At 41.3% G+C, this 14,910-nt stretch overlaps 1 protein-coding gene across 5 annotated transcripts in view; it reads right to left on the bottom strand.

Moving 5' to 3' along the window:
* Positions 2,577–14,910, bottom strand: part of VPS45 (vacuolar protein sorting 45 homolog) — a 77,948-nt gene continuing 65,614 nt past the window's right edge. For 4 of the 5 annotated variants that reach the window (NR_103998.2, XM_024452791.2, NM_001279354.2 and 1 more), the window contains one exon: positions 2,577–3,197. Coding sequence is in view for 4 of the 5 variants with exons in the window: in XM_024452791.2 (XP_024308559.1) it covers positions 3,110–3,197 (88 nt within the window). In the remaining variant the exon portion in view is untranslated. Of the gene's footprint in view, positions 3,198–4,974; positions 5,069–14,910 lie in introns of all 5 variants that reach the window. The other variant, NM_001279353.2, reaches the window with a different exon arrangement.

Raw genomic sequence — 14,910 nt, 5'->3', positions numbered from 1 at the left:
TCATTTGCCCCATCTTCCTCCTTTCCCAGTAGTTTCTATCAGTCAACAAATATTGGGCTGCGTGTGGTGGCTCACGCCTGTAATCCCAGCACTTTGGGAGGCCGAGGCGGGTGGATCATTTGAGGTCAGAAGTTCAAGACCAGCCTGACCAACATGTCGAAACCCCATATCTACTAAATACAAAAAAAAATTAGCTGGGTGTGGTGGCACACGCCTGTAATCCCAGCTACTTGGGAGGCTGAGGCAGGAGAATAGCTCGAACCTGGGAGGCAGAGGTTGCAGTGAGCCGAGATTGCACCACTGCACTCCAGCCTGGGCAACAGAGTGAAACTCCGTCTCAAAAATAGATACATAGATAGATAAATAAGTATTTGAGTGTCTCCTATATGCAAGGTCCAGGGTTCCTTTCGTGCCTCATCAGATAGGTGCCAGAGCATTGTGAAACATTAGGCAGAGGGGCTAATGAAAAAGAAAAACCGTCTAAAGTAATTTTCAGATTCCACAGCAGATGCATGTGGGCTGCAGAACCTTCCCTGCCTGTCTGCTCTCTTAAGATGTTACATAAATCTCTGGTGTCCTCTCTTTCTCTCTGCCCTGCTCCATCCTGTGATCCTGCCCCTACTTTCGTTCACCTGTTCTCCCTTTGTCCTGTCACTCACCCCTTTCCACTTCCCCTGGCCTATTCTTGAAGCTGGTTTGTCTCACCAGGTGAACCTCATGGCACCTGAATTGGGATGTAGGTGGGACTGTTTTCCAAAGACCAATGCTAAAGTGAGAAATCTGAGAACGTATGTGTTCCTATACACATTTTTATAGCGCTGTCTCCTCAGCGCTCCTCAGTGAGCTTGACACTACACGCACATAAACCACAGAAATCACTCTCAGCCAGTTTCTGTCTGTGGTGAAGATAAGACACTGGGAGGACCTCATGATGGGGGTACCTCTCTAACAACATCTGAGGATAAGACGCGACTGCTAGTAGCTGTATTCTATAACGGAATATTTTATAACTTCACTAAAGGGAGAAAGAAGGGAACTATTAGAGATAAAAACTTGTCAACTGCTGCTTGCAAGTTTACTGGACAGAAACTGTTATTCAAACACAGTTGTCTAAAAACAAATATCCTTGGCTTTTGTGGAGTAAATGGAACACAGAGGTTTTGACCAGGGCATTTCCACCTATGGGGGAGAGGATTATTAAAAGCATACAAGACCTTAATTAAAGTGATGTTTTTAAAGGGCACAAAAATAAAGGGCCAGTACAAATGGAATCAGCTCTGTAAATCTTACACAAAAATACGTGTCTTTGATTCTTAATAAAGAAATGCCAACTTCTGACATCAAACACCCTGATGGTAGGGCTCATTTCTTAGACTTCTTGATATTGTCAGTTGAGTAGGCACAATGGAAGCAGATGAATAATGAGGAAAATGACATAAGGAAGGTCTCTGTTTTTGCTCTTTTTATTCCACAGCGTTATCTTGCTGATAGGAAGAGAAGCACAGATATTCCTGCTTGGAGGAGGGAGTTTTTCATATTTTAAAAGGCTATATAACTTGTAAAATGCTGCATTTAAAATACTCCATCCCCAAGTGCAGGCTGTCTTAAATACTTATAAAAAATGAAGAAGAAAAAATTACCCAAAGGGACCCACAAAAGCAAAAAAAAAAAAAAAAGAACTTGGATTTTACTTCATGAGTGCGTGTAAAGAAACAACAGCTGAGGCCGAGTGCAGTGGCTCACGCCTGTAATCCCAACACTTTGGGAAGCAGAGGCGGGTGGATCACGAGGTCAGGAGTTCAAGACCATCCTGGCCAAGATGGTGAAACCCCATCTCTACTAAAAATAAAAAATAATAAAAAAAAAGAAACAACAGCTGAGAGCTGGGACGAGTGGAAAAAAGAGAGGGACAGAATGACCTTTCAGCTTTTCCCTCTATTTTTTGAACTGCTTATTAGTGCAATGATTAGATGTGCAATGATTAAAATGATTAGTCCAATCATTTTACATGTGACTCTGTAACCCCAACTTAGAGACAGAAATTAATCTTATTTACTATTAGCCAAATTTTATTAAATGATTACCGTATACCAGTGTTTTAAGCACTTTTCATGTATCATCTCATCTCATTTAATTCTTCTAATCCTATGAGGAAGGTTCTATTTTATAGATGAGAAAGCTGAGCCACAAAGAGGCTAAATAATATTCCCAAAGCCATATAAATATGACATAGGTTTGACCCTTACTGTCTGATGCTAGAGAATATTTGTCAACATACAAGTTTACACACACACACACACACACACACACACACAAAACAGGGAGGGATTGTGCTTTGGTATTTTTGCTATGATGATTTGAGGATGCCTTAATTTCCTGGCAATAATGATACTGTCACTTTCTCCTGTTTTCAAGAGAGGTGAAATTGACACTAGAATTTATTATTTGCCTTGACATACTTTAAATATCCTTCAGGTAGAAGTAATGCCTTCATTATGTTTGGTGTGAAACCAGCTCATGTCCCACCTCATAAATTCCCATAAATTAGCCTCAAAGAAATAAAACTAAATCACTCATATCCTTTCACAAAATGGATTTTTATTGTGGTCATACATGGTTTCTCAGTGCCACAGAAAATTGCTATGTAGGGACAAAAAATTTTTGGATGGCTCTGTAAAGAAACATGGTAGGTTTTCAGAAATGAGTTGTGCAGGAATGTGGTTAATGAAAAGCAGAAAGGGTTAAGGGAAGAGAAAGGAAGCCAAGGAGTGTGGTATGTACATCAAATGATTACTTTTTAAGCCCCTCTAGGCTCTGATAACCCTTTCCCCAAGTCAGATCCCAACAAAATTCATCAGTAACTGAAGTGATTGTGCTAACAGATACATAAAGACTACCGGAGAAAAGTGGGTTGAGATGGGCTCAGACTTATTGTTAGGACAACTCTGGGAGTCTTGTGTCTGTGCCAACCACGTATCCGTGGGCTACCTGGAGATGAGTTCTAACAACCAGCACAGAACCCAAAGCTGCTCTCCAACACCTTTGTTTAGTAGGGAAAACCTGTAGTGGGGACAAGAGAGGAAGCTGTGCCCTTCCCCCAACCACCGTTTCATCTTCTGCTCGCTGACCTTGATGTGACTTGAGAGCTCTCCTTGCTTCGGCTGTGCAGTCCAGAAGCCAGAACTTCCTCTAGGAAACTGATAAGTAGTTTGAGGTTACTTGAAGGAAAAAACAAAAGCATCTCCAAAAATAGAATGTCTTGCTCTGGACATCTAACCAGATGAAAATATATCATGAATAGTAGGCAGGAGGTACTGGTCTGATATTTGGGTATAGAATGGAAGCATCAGTTGAGCACTACAACATCCATACTGCAAGGACAGTCCTTCTGTGCTCTTCCCCAGGGTCTTCATTTTTTTTTTAGAATTAAATTTGTAAGATCTATTAAGACTAACATTTCAAGTTTGAAGTTTCTATTTAGGATCCCAGAATTTTTAAGGGCAAGGCCACTATATTAACTCAGTACCATGTTACATCAGCACCTGTTATCTGTACTCTTGAAACTGTCTCAGAGCTTGTATGTTGTCTATAGTTTCTTTCTTATCCAATCTACTCTCCAGAGTGGCACCAGAGTTACTTTTCTAAAATGCAGATTACAGGCAGGCGCGGTGGCTCAGGCCTGTAATGCTAGCACTTTAGAAGGCTGAGGCGGGTGGATTGCTCGAGCCCAGGAGTTTGAGACCAACCTGGGCAACAGAGCAAGACCCTGTCTCTAATAAAAAAAAAATTAAAAAATAAAACAAAATACAGATTATATCCTGTTGTATACTCTCCCTTCTTCTGCTTTAAAACCTTTCTTTTACTTATGGAAAATGTACAGTTCAAGGCCTTTCATAATGTGCCCTAATAAAGAATACTTATATTCATTTTGTTCTGAGCACCGTTTAAAGCCATGTGTGTGTATATATGCATATATGCATGCGGCCCTGTCAAACAGATGCTACTATTATCCTCATTTTAAAAAACGAAGAAACAAAGCTATAGAGGGGAGGTTAAGTGACTTGCCAAGGTCACAACAGCTAGTAAGTGGCTCAGCTGGGATTCAGATCCAGGCTCTAGATTCTGTGCCTTTCAGCATCTTGCAATACTGCTTCCCACTTGTCTGTTCCATCTCTCAGAGTGCAGCCTCTATGCCATCCATGCCCAACTACTCACTGTTCCTAAACACGTCATGAGCTTTCCTACCTCAAGTAGTTATTCTTACTATGTCCTATGTTTGACTATTCTTTCTCTGCTGAAATCTTCTTTTTTTTTTTTTGAGACGGAGTCTTGCTCTGTTGCCCAGGCTGGAGTGCAATGGCACAATCTCAGCTCACTGCAACTTCTGCCTCCCAGGTTCAAACGATTCTCCTCCCTCAGCCTCCCGATTAGGTGGGATTACAGGCATATACTACCATGCTGGCTAATTTTTGTAGTTTTAGTAGAGACGGGTTTCACCATGTTGGCCAGGCTGGTCTCAAATTCCTGGCCTCAAGTGATCTGCCTGCTTCAGCCTCCCAAAGTGCTGGGATTACAAGCGTGAGCCACTGCGCCTGGCAAGAACCTTATTCTTCAAGACTAAGGATTAAAAGTCACTTTTCTGGCCAGGCATGGTCTCATTCATACATACATACATAAATACATAATCATAAAAGTCACTTTTTCTGTAAAGCCCTTCCAGACCCCTCCATGCTGAACTAATTACTGTTATTACTTTATCCCACTCCTATCTTAGCACTGTATAATTGTTGCCAAGACAGACTGTGAGCTTCTTGGGAGGTAGGGGGAAGTCTTACTCACCTTAGATCTCCAGGGCTTAACACAGAGGTATCCAATAAAGTTATGCTGAGTAAATGAATAAAATAGCTACCCATTGGCAAGACAGCCTTCTTTATAATATAAAAGTTATTTGGATGGACGGGTGCAGTGGCTTACGCTGTAATCCCAGCACTTTGGGAGGCTGAGGCGGGTGGATCGCTTGAGCCCAGGAGTTCGAAACCAGGCAGGGGAACATAGTGAAACCCCATCTCTATAAAAAATACAAAAATTAGACAGGTGCCTGTAGTCCCAGCTACTTGGGAGGCTAAGGCAGAAGAATTGCTTGAGCCTGGAGGCAGAGGTTGCAGTGAGCCAAGATTGTGCCATTGCACTCCAACCTGGGCGACAGGAGTGAAACCCTGTCTCAACAACAACAACAGCAACAACAACAAGTTATTTGGATGCTCAGGACTCTCTCTCAGAGCAGACAGATATTTAAAAGACAGAGGACTGGAGGAATGACCAGTTATTACCATTGTTTTGCAGTTTTATTACCATCTTGCATTGAAAGATTCTGGGCTTGGAGAATTTAAATTCCAAACTCCTTTGCAAAAGAAAAAATTGCAAAGTAGAGGGAAAGGAGTAGAAGCTAAGTTCATTTGTTCCTCTATGGAAATACAGACATCTTTGGCCTGGCTTTTTGGCCAGTTGGACTAGACACAATTGGAGGTCAGAAAACAAGTGTTAGGAAATGAGGTAGCACTGATTTTTTTTTGAACAATAACACAATAAGTCTTGATGACTTCTAGAAAGAATGAAATAAATGTGCTGGGAAGCCCTATAGGAATTTTATCAGGGGATCTTTGGTTCATTTCCAACTCTGCTACAAAGGGAAGAAATAAAGATCCTCCTCTGTATATCAACAAGACCCCACATTCCTGACTATAATGAGAACACACTTACTATTTATATTTACCAGCCTAATTTTGTTTCCTAGGGCCACTATGACTTAAAAAAAAACTATTTGGGGACTCTAATGAGTCATTGCTCAGAATGCTTAAAAAATTATGGCGAATGAACATATTGCTAGCTGTACCCCAAATTTAGACTATGTTTAAAAACAAAACAAAAAGAATAATTTTTCTTTCTAAATTCATTTTAAATCAATCTCACTTAAAAGCAAACTCAAAAATCCCCTTCTCCGTTGGTGCCATAGTCCAGTTCAATTCAGTTCAATTCAATCCAATTCAACAAATGTTTAATGAGCATCCATTATGAACTAGGTGTTGAACTAGGTGTACAAATGTACACCTTAGTTATGATTCCTACCTTAAGGGACTCTCAGAGACAGATACACAATCACAATCCAATATGAGTATAAACAGAGGCAGTGCCAGAAACTAACAGAGTGGATTAATGCTACTGCTTTTTTTAGTTTGTGCTGTCATCAAGGGTGTTTTCCTGACTCCATGTATAGAAGGAAGGTGGGTGGAAAAAAGCAGAACCCCAACCCTGATTTTAAAAAGTCAACCTTGAGAAGTCTTGAGTCACACACTGAAAAGCAAGCTTCTCCACTTACATCACTGGTAAGGGACTAGAGACCAATGTTTATAGGATTAAAAATATTAATTACTAAAATAATTCAGCTGAACAACTGTGTTTCTATTCCTAAACAAAGCTATCATACTGTAACAAAAACTATGTGTGTGTATGTGTATATAATTTAAGGATATGTCTTCCTCCTTTTTCACTATACTCCACAGGTAAAAATTACATGTGAATTTCTTATACCAAAGACACCAAGGGGAATCTAGAACCTGAATAGTGTTATAATAATTAAAAAAATAGAACTTGTGGGGAGCAGAAAAATAGAAAAAGACTTTCAGGAAAATAATGAGAAAAACCCCAAGATATTTGTCTTAATGGAGTAATAAGCTCCTAATTACAGCCAAACACTTACTTGGAGAAGTTAGGAGTATGGGAGTGGGTAAGGCAGAAGGATAAGATGAAATTATTAATAGCTTAAAACACTGAAAATGCTCCTCACCTCTCAACTTCCACGGCTTGCAGTTTTCAGAGCCACTGCTATGTTTCATACTTCTTTGCTTTTGCACCTGCTATTCAAAGGCTGTCCCATCCATCTCACACTTTGTTTGGTGGAACTATGCATCTTTAAAAACCCAACTCTCACATTATTACTCCTCTAGGAAGCTTTCCTCAACTGCATTGCTTTCCCCTTAGAGTTACGTACTCATTCTTCCATATCTTGTAAATATACTGTGTTGTAATTTATTTGTCTGTATGTCCATTTTCCATGCAAGCTTATGAAGCTTTTAGGGGCACAAGGATACATGAGTACATTCTCTTTGTAAAAGTTCTAAACATATACCTTGTCTTCCTTGACCCTCCTTATCCTCATCACTCCAGAAATAACATAATTTGATCAACAAATATTTACTGAGTGTCTACTATGTGCTAGGCACTGTTCTAGAAGCTGTGAATACAGCAATGAAGAAAGTAAAAAAAAACCCCTCTGCTCTCATGGAATTTATATTCCAATGGGAGAGAAGGAAAATAAAATTAATTAGTAGTTAATAATAATAATACAATAATAATGGTGTACACATATTACTATATGCAAAGTACTGCTCTAATGGACAGAAACCATTCCACTTTAAATACACACACACACACACACACACACACACACACACACACACACCAGAAGTGATGGAATTGGGATATAATCCCAGGCAATCTGGCTTCAGTTTGTCTTCTTAACTATAATGCTATACTGCCTCTTTGTAATATGTTAGATGAAGAAATACTATGGGAAAAGATAAAGCAGGTTTAAAAAAGGAGTATTGGAGATGGTAGTGGTGTGAGATTTTAAAACTAGTGACTGGGCTGGGTGCGGTGGCTCACGCCTGTAATCCCAGCACTTTGGGAGGCCAAGGCGGGAGGATCACTTGAGGTCACTTGAGGTCACGAGTTTCAGATCAGCTTGACCAACATGGTGAAACCCTGTCTCTACTAAAAATACAAAAATTAGCCAGGCGTGGTGGTGCATGCCTGTAATCTCAGCTACTTGGGAGGCTGAGGCACAAGAATCGTTTGAACCTGGGAGGCGGAGGTTACAGTGAGCTGAGATTGCACCACAGCACTCCAGGCTGGGCACCAAAGCAAGACTCCATCTCAAAACAACAACAACAACAACAACAAAAATAAAATAAAACTAGTGACTGGCTGCCCATGGTGGCTCACGCCTATAATCCCAGAACTCTGGTAGGCCGAAACAGGAGGATATTTTTAATCCTATTGCTTGAGTCCAGGAGTTCAAGACCAGCCTGGACAACATAGCAAGACCCTCTACAAAAAATTTTAAAAATTAGCCAAGCATTGTGGTGCACACCTGTAGTCCCAGCTCCTCAGGAAGCTGAGGTGGAAAGATCACTTGAGCATGAGCCCAGGATTTAGAGACTGCAGTGAGCTATGATCATCCCATTGCACCCCAGCATGGGTGACAGAGTGAGACTCTGTCTCAAAAAAAAGAGAGTTCATCAATGTTAGGTAATAGCTTTTCTTGAAGAGGAATAAAATGCTACCATAAAAAACATCCCCCCAAAACAAAAACAAAAACTAGTACCCAAGGAAGGCCTCCCTGAGAAACTGACATTTGAGTCAAGACCTGAATGAGGCAACAGAGCATGTATCTGGGAAAGAGCAAGTGCAAAGGGATCAAGGCTCTGTATGTTTAAGGAACAGAAAGAAGGTTAGTGTGGCTAGAGTGAAGTGAATAAGGTGTTGGATAGTAAGAGGTGAGATTGGAGAGGTAAGGAATGGGTAGAGCGGGCTATAAGGAGAGACCATATAAGGCCTGGCATGTCATTGTAAGAATTTTGGTTTTTACTTTGGGTAAGATGAGAGACATCTGGAGGGTTCTGCAAAAAGATGTGACATACCCTGAATGACACATTTTCACAAGATCACCCTACTACTATATTGAGAAGGGGGTGTTGGGGGACAAGAGTAAAGCAGCTGCAGTAATCCCAGTGGGAAGTGACGGTGGCATGGACCAGAGCAGTAGTGGTGAAAGGGCATTAGATTCTGGGTGTATTTTGAAGGTAAAGCTCTCAGGACTTATTGATAAGTCAGGATGTAGGTGTGAGATAAAGAGGAGATTCAAGAAAATGCCAAGTTTTTTTTTGCCTAAGCAACTAAAGGAATGGATGTGCCACTGAGGTGGGAAGTCGGAGGGAGGATTATATTGAGCAACAAAGATCAGAAGTTTGGTTTTGATCACGTTAAGTATGAATATTTATTAGACATTCAAGTAGAGATGTCAAAAAGACAGTGGATATACAAGTCCAGAGTTTGGGGGAGAAGTTCGGACAAGAAACACTGGTTCTCAATGGGGTGAGGAGTGTGATTTTAGTCTCAGGGGACATTTGGCAGAGTCTGGAGATGTTTTTCCTCGTCATAACTGGTGGAGTGCTGCTGGTTTCTCATGGGTATAGGCCAGGAATGTTGCTGAACATCTATAATGCAAAGGACAGTCCTCCACAACAACAGATTATCTGCCTCCAAATAGCAATAATGAAACTCAGGACTAGAAATATAAATCTGGGAGTTAGTAGTCGAGACATACAACTTAAAGCCGTGAGACTGAATGAGGTGGCCAAGTCCCAGGGATTCCAAAAATAGGAGAAACAGCAAATGAGACAGAGAAGGAATGGCCAGTGAGGTAGGACGACCAAGACAGTATAGTTCCTGGAAGCTAAGTGATAACAACGACCAGCCTGCGCAACATAGCAATACCTCATCTCTATTTTTTTTTAAAAAATAAGTAAGGGAACTGCGTCAGATGCTGCTGATAGGTCAAGCAAAATGAGGACTGAAAGTTGACTCTATGTTTAGCTATGTGGAGGTCCCTAGGGACCCTGACAACAGCGATTTTAGAGTGATGGGAGTGAAGGCCTGAATGCAGTAGTTGAGGAGAATATGTGGATTTAAGAGAATATGTGAGGGAAGGAATTAGAGACAGTGAGTGTAAACAACTCTTGGAGAATTTTCCCATGAAAGAGAACACAGAAATGAGATGGAGCCTAGAAAGAGTAAGGGGGTTAAGAGAGGGCTTTTAAAGATGCAGAACATAGCAGGATATTTCAAACTGTTTTTTTTTTTTTTTTTTTTGGAGACGGAGTCTCACTCTGTCGCCTAGGCTGGAGTGCAGTGGCACAATCTCGGCTCACTGCAACCTCCACCTCCCGGGTTCAAGCAATTCTCCTGCCTCAGCCTCCTGAGTAGCTGGGACTACAGAAATACGCCGCCATGCCTGGCTAATTTTTTATATTTTAGTAGAGATGAGGTTTCACTGTGTTGCCCAGGCTGGTCTCAAACTGCTGAGCTCAGGCAATCTGCCCACCTCAGCCTCCAAAAGTGCTAGGATTACAGGCGTGAGCCACTGTGCCCAGCATAGCAGGATATTTCTATGCTTCTATGAATAATACAACAGGTGGGAAAAAATGATTTGGGAAAGAAAGGGGAGTTTGGAGAGATATCCCGGTGTAGGTGAGGTAGATGGGCTCTGGTGCCCAAGTGGAAGAGCTAGCCCCAGCTAGGAGCATTCATCCCCTATGACAGGACAGAAGGCAGTGAGCGGGTTTTCTTCCTCCTAATTCTCTTCTAATGGTTTGTCTTACTAGTTAGTGCACATCTTGAGTATTACTTTCTTCATCCTTAGTATAAAGTGGATGAATTGTTTGCCAAATGAACATGATTCAGATACAGATTTTTAAAAGAAGACCCCAGCTTAAATGTCACCTAGTGTGCTAAACTTTTTCTAAATATCCAACAGCAGTTTTATCAGGAGCAAGGGAATAGGTTGGCATTCAACATCTACATCTGAGGCTGGGTGTGGTGGCTCACACCTGTAATCCCTGCACTTTGGGAGGCCAAGGCAGGTGGATCACTTTGAGTTCAGGAGCTCGAGACCAGCCTGGGAAACATGGTGAATCCCCGTCTCTACAAAAAAATACAAAAATTAGCTGGGTGTGGTAGCATGCACCTGTGGTCCCAGCTATTTGGGAGGCTCAGGCTGGAGAATCGCTTGAACCTGGGAGGTGGAGGCTGCAGTGAGCCGAGATGGCACCACTGCACTCCAGCCTGGGTGATAGGGTGAGACCCTGTCTCAAAACAAACAAACAAATCTACATCTGGAAATACCAGGCATCTCACACACAGAGATCATCCTGCCCCTCACTGGAGATAGACTTTACTTATGAAGAACTTCTCATTATTTCTCAAATGTGGTACACCTTTTTTTTTTTTTTTTTTTAAATCTTGCTCCTGTCCTTAATCATGCTTTTCCTCAGCCTTGACTGCTCTTTCTTCCTATGGAAATCCTACTTATCCTTTATGGTCTAGTTCAAAAACCAGCTCCTCTGTGAGGCATTTCCTAGTTACTCTGTCAGAATTAATTATTTATATTTAGGATACATTTTGTTTAACTTCTGTACATGAACACTTTTCAATTTTTTTTGTTTGTTTGTTTGAGATGGAGTTTCGCTCTCGTTGTCCAGGCTGGAGTGCAGTGGTGCGATCTTGGCTCGCTGCAACCTCCACCTCCTGAGTTCAAGCAATTCTCTTGCCTTAGCCTCCTCAATAGCTGGGATTACAGGAGTCCACCACCATGCCCAGCTAATTTTTGTATTTTTTAGTAGAGACGGGGTTTCACCATGTTGGCCAGGCTGGTCTTGAACTCCTGACCTCAGGTGATCCACCCACCTCGGCCTCCCAAAGTGCCGAGATTACAGGTGTGAACCACCGCACCCGGCCTCAAATTTTTTTTTTTTTTTTTGTAGACAGAGTCTCACTCTGTTGCCCAAGCTGGAGTGCAGTGGGACGATCTCGGCTCACTGCAATCCCTGCCTCCCAGGTTCAAGCAATCCTCCTGCCTCAGCCCTGCTAGTAGCTGGGATTACAGGCATGCACCACCATGCCTGGCTAATTTTTGTATTTTTAGTAGAGATGGGGTTTTGCCGTGTTGGTCAAGCTGGTCTTGAACACCTGACCTCAGGTGATCCACCCGCCTTGGCCTCCCAAGGTGCTGGGATTACAGGCATGAACCACTGCACCCGGCCTCAAATTTTTATACCTAGGAAGAAGCAGGGCTAGGCGTGGTGGTTCATGCCTGTAATCCCAGCACTTTGGGAGGCTGAGGCAGGCAGATCACCTGAGGTCAGGAGTTCAAAACCAGCCTGGCCAACATGATGAAACCCCATTTCTACTAAAAATACAAAAATTAGCCAGGTGGGATGACATGTGCCTGTAATCCCAGCTACCCAGGGGGGTGAGGCAGAATTGCTTGAACCTAGGAGGCGGAGGTTGCAGTGAGCTGAGATCACACCACTGCACTCTAGCCTGGGCGACAGAGGACAAAAAGAAGCAAATGAATTATGAGTCCTAAGGGTGTAGTCCAGATTGGTATATCAGCTTACATCTTTCTTTGACTTTCAGTATTTTGTTTTAAAAATGCATAACTGGCCAGGCCCAGTGACTCATGCCTGTTATCCCAGCACTTTGGGAGGCCGAGGAGGGTGGATCACGTGAGGTCAGGAGTTCGCGACCAGCCTGGCCAACTTGGTGAAACCCTGTCTCTACTAAAACAAATACAAAAATTAGCCAGGTGTGGTGGTAGGCACCTGTAATCCCAGCTATTGGGGAGGCTAAGGCTAGAGAATCACTTGAACCTGGGAGGCAGAGGTTGTAGTGAGCCGAGATCACGCCATTGCACTCCAGCCTGGGTGACAAGTGTGAGACTCTGTCATAAAAAATAAATAAATAAAATAAAAAATAAAAATGCATAATAATTTTATATTATTTTTCATAAAAGGACCTTTTAAATTTTGACACAAACATATTTTAAGGTACTTATCAGTTAAATTATTTAATTCTACCCCTGCACATCCCCCTGATTATAAGAAACTGGGCACTTCAAAAGATGTGTCATGTTTATTTTGTGCCATTAGTCTTTGAGACTAATCATATCCTAATATGAAAAATACAGAATTTGTTTGACTCCTCCACTGGACCATAAGATCATTGAAGACAGGGATGTTTTATTTATGTTTGCGTTTTAGTTCCTGCCTTGAATAGTAAAGGCAGCCACTCAATAAATATACTCCTTAATGCTCCCAAACAATATAATCATAATATTCTGTCAATATTCTTAGCTCACATTTTCTTCTTGTTTCTCCTTGAGAGGAGCAATAGTAATAATAAAAAATATAACAAAAAACCTCACGTCTATGGACAGGTGAATGGAAAAGTAAACTGTGGTATGTTCACATAATGGAATGTTACACAGCACTGAAAAATGATTGAGGTTACCTGCAACAATACAGATGAATCTTAGAAGCAAAGTTTAATGAAAAAAGTATGATACTATTTTTATAAAGCTCAAAAACAAGCAAAACTAAACAATGTGTTATTTAGAAATACATAGGTAAGTGCTAAAAACACAATCTTCTTCCACCAAAGCAAGGGAATTAAATACAAAATCTAGGTTAGCACTTACCTGCTGTAGGGAGATAAGGGATGTAATTGGAGAGGAACACATGGATACATCTATGTTACTGGCAATTTTCTAGTCCTTGGGTTAGGTGAAAGGCTCAAGCGTATTTATTATATTATGCTTTCTAACTTACATGCTACATATATTTTATCAAATATTATATTAAAATACAATTAAAAAACACAAAAGTGAAGTGGGTTTCTTTACCCTAGATTTTCTCAGAATCTTTAATATGCTAATATGAGTTTTGACTTTTCAAGAGAAGGATAGAGTGTTTTCCAAACTTAGTTGGCTATAGAACCCTTTTAAAAATGGAATACCTATCAATATCTCCTCAAATAAATTTTCTATATAATAAGTCTTGGAATACACTGAATTAAAGTATAAGATATTTCCTTGATTCTAACTAATTCCACTGGGGTTATTTTACCCTATGACACTTTCTTACAAATGATATAATTGCCTATTCAAAAATGTAGCTATTCCTTCGGAATTCCCTCCTTAGTACTGGCCACCTGATTTATGAAATGAAACAAAACAAAACAAAACAAAGAAGCAAACAGGAGCCCTTGGCACTATTTCCTCTCTTATTGAGAAGAAACAGCAAGAAAAGCAAACAATGAGATTCTGCATGGATCTAGCACTGTTTGTGTCATTCACTGGAATGTCATGCGAAGAGAAAGGAAAAAATTACCCTCATCGTCCACAGGGTTAAAAATGGACTCCTCAAGGACAGAACTCAGAGATCTGAAAGGTGGTTATCATCTGAGAACATATCTGAAAGGTAGTTATCATCTGAGAATAAAAAGAGGTGTAGATGTATGGGAACATTCAAGCCCACATCAATGTGTCAGAACAACCACAACTACAGGGGCAGCATGGTGAACACTATTAAAAAATGCAAGAAACGAAGCCCCAAATAGCCCAGCTGTAGCAACCATGAATGCTGAAGACTCTTTGCAAGTCTTCTTTATTTTTTTGAGATGGAGTCTCGCTCTGTTGCCCAGGCTGGAGTGCAGTGGCACAATCTCAGCTCACTGCAACCTCCACCTCCCTGGTTCAAAGGATTCTCCTGCCTCAGCCTCCCGAACAGCTGGGATTACAGGCGCCCACCACCACGCCCGGCTAATTTTTGTATTTTTTTTTAGTAGAGATGGGGTTTCACCATGTTGGCCAGGCTGGTCTCGAACTCCTGACCTCAGGTGATCCATACACCTCAGCCTCCCAAAGTGCTGATATTACAGGCGTGAGCCACCACGCCTGGCCTTCATCTTTTAATTATAGTGGTACTGACTCTGGGGGGCCCCAAAGGAGAAATTTTAAGTGAACACAAATGGAAATGGAACTACTAAAGATTTTTCTTCTCACAGACTGCAAAGTCATCTGACATCGGACTATCTTCATAGTACATTTTATCACTGCCTCAGTATATTTCCACTTGGAATAATAATATAATTCTGCCTTTGAATTATGGTAAAGGGTTTTAAGACAACTTATTTGGAAGTAAGGGTGATGACAGAGGTGGTGATAATGAATAC

Source organism: Homo sapiens, chromosome 1, assembly GCF_000001405.40.
Source record: "Homo sapiens chromosome 1, GRCh38.p14 Primary Assembly".
NCBI lineage: Eukaryota > Metazoa > Chordata > Mammalia > Primates > Hominidae > Homo > Homo sapiens.
The sequence above is the reverse complement of the archived record's forward strand: the minus strand, read 5'-3'. Positions and strand labels throughout refer to the sequence as shown.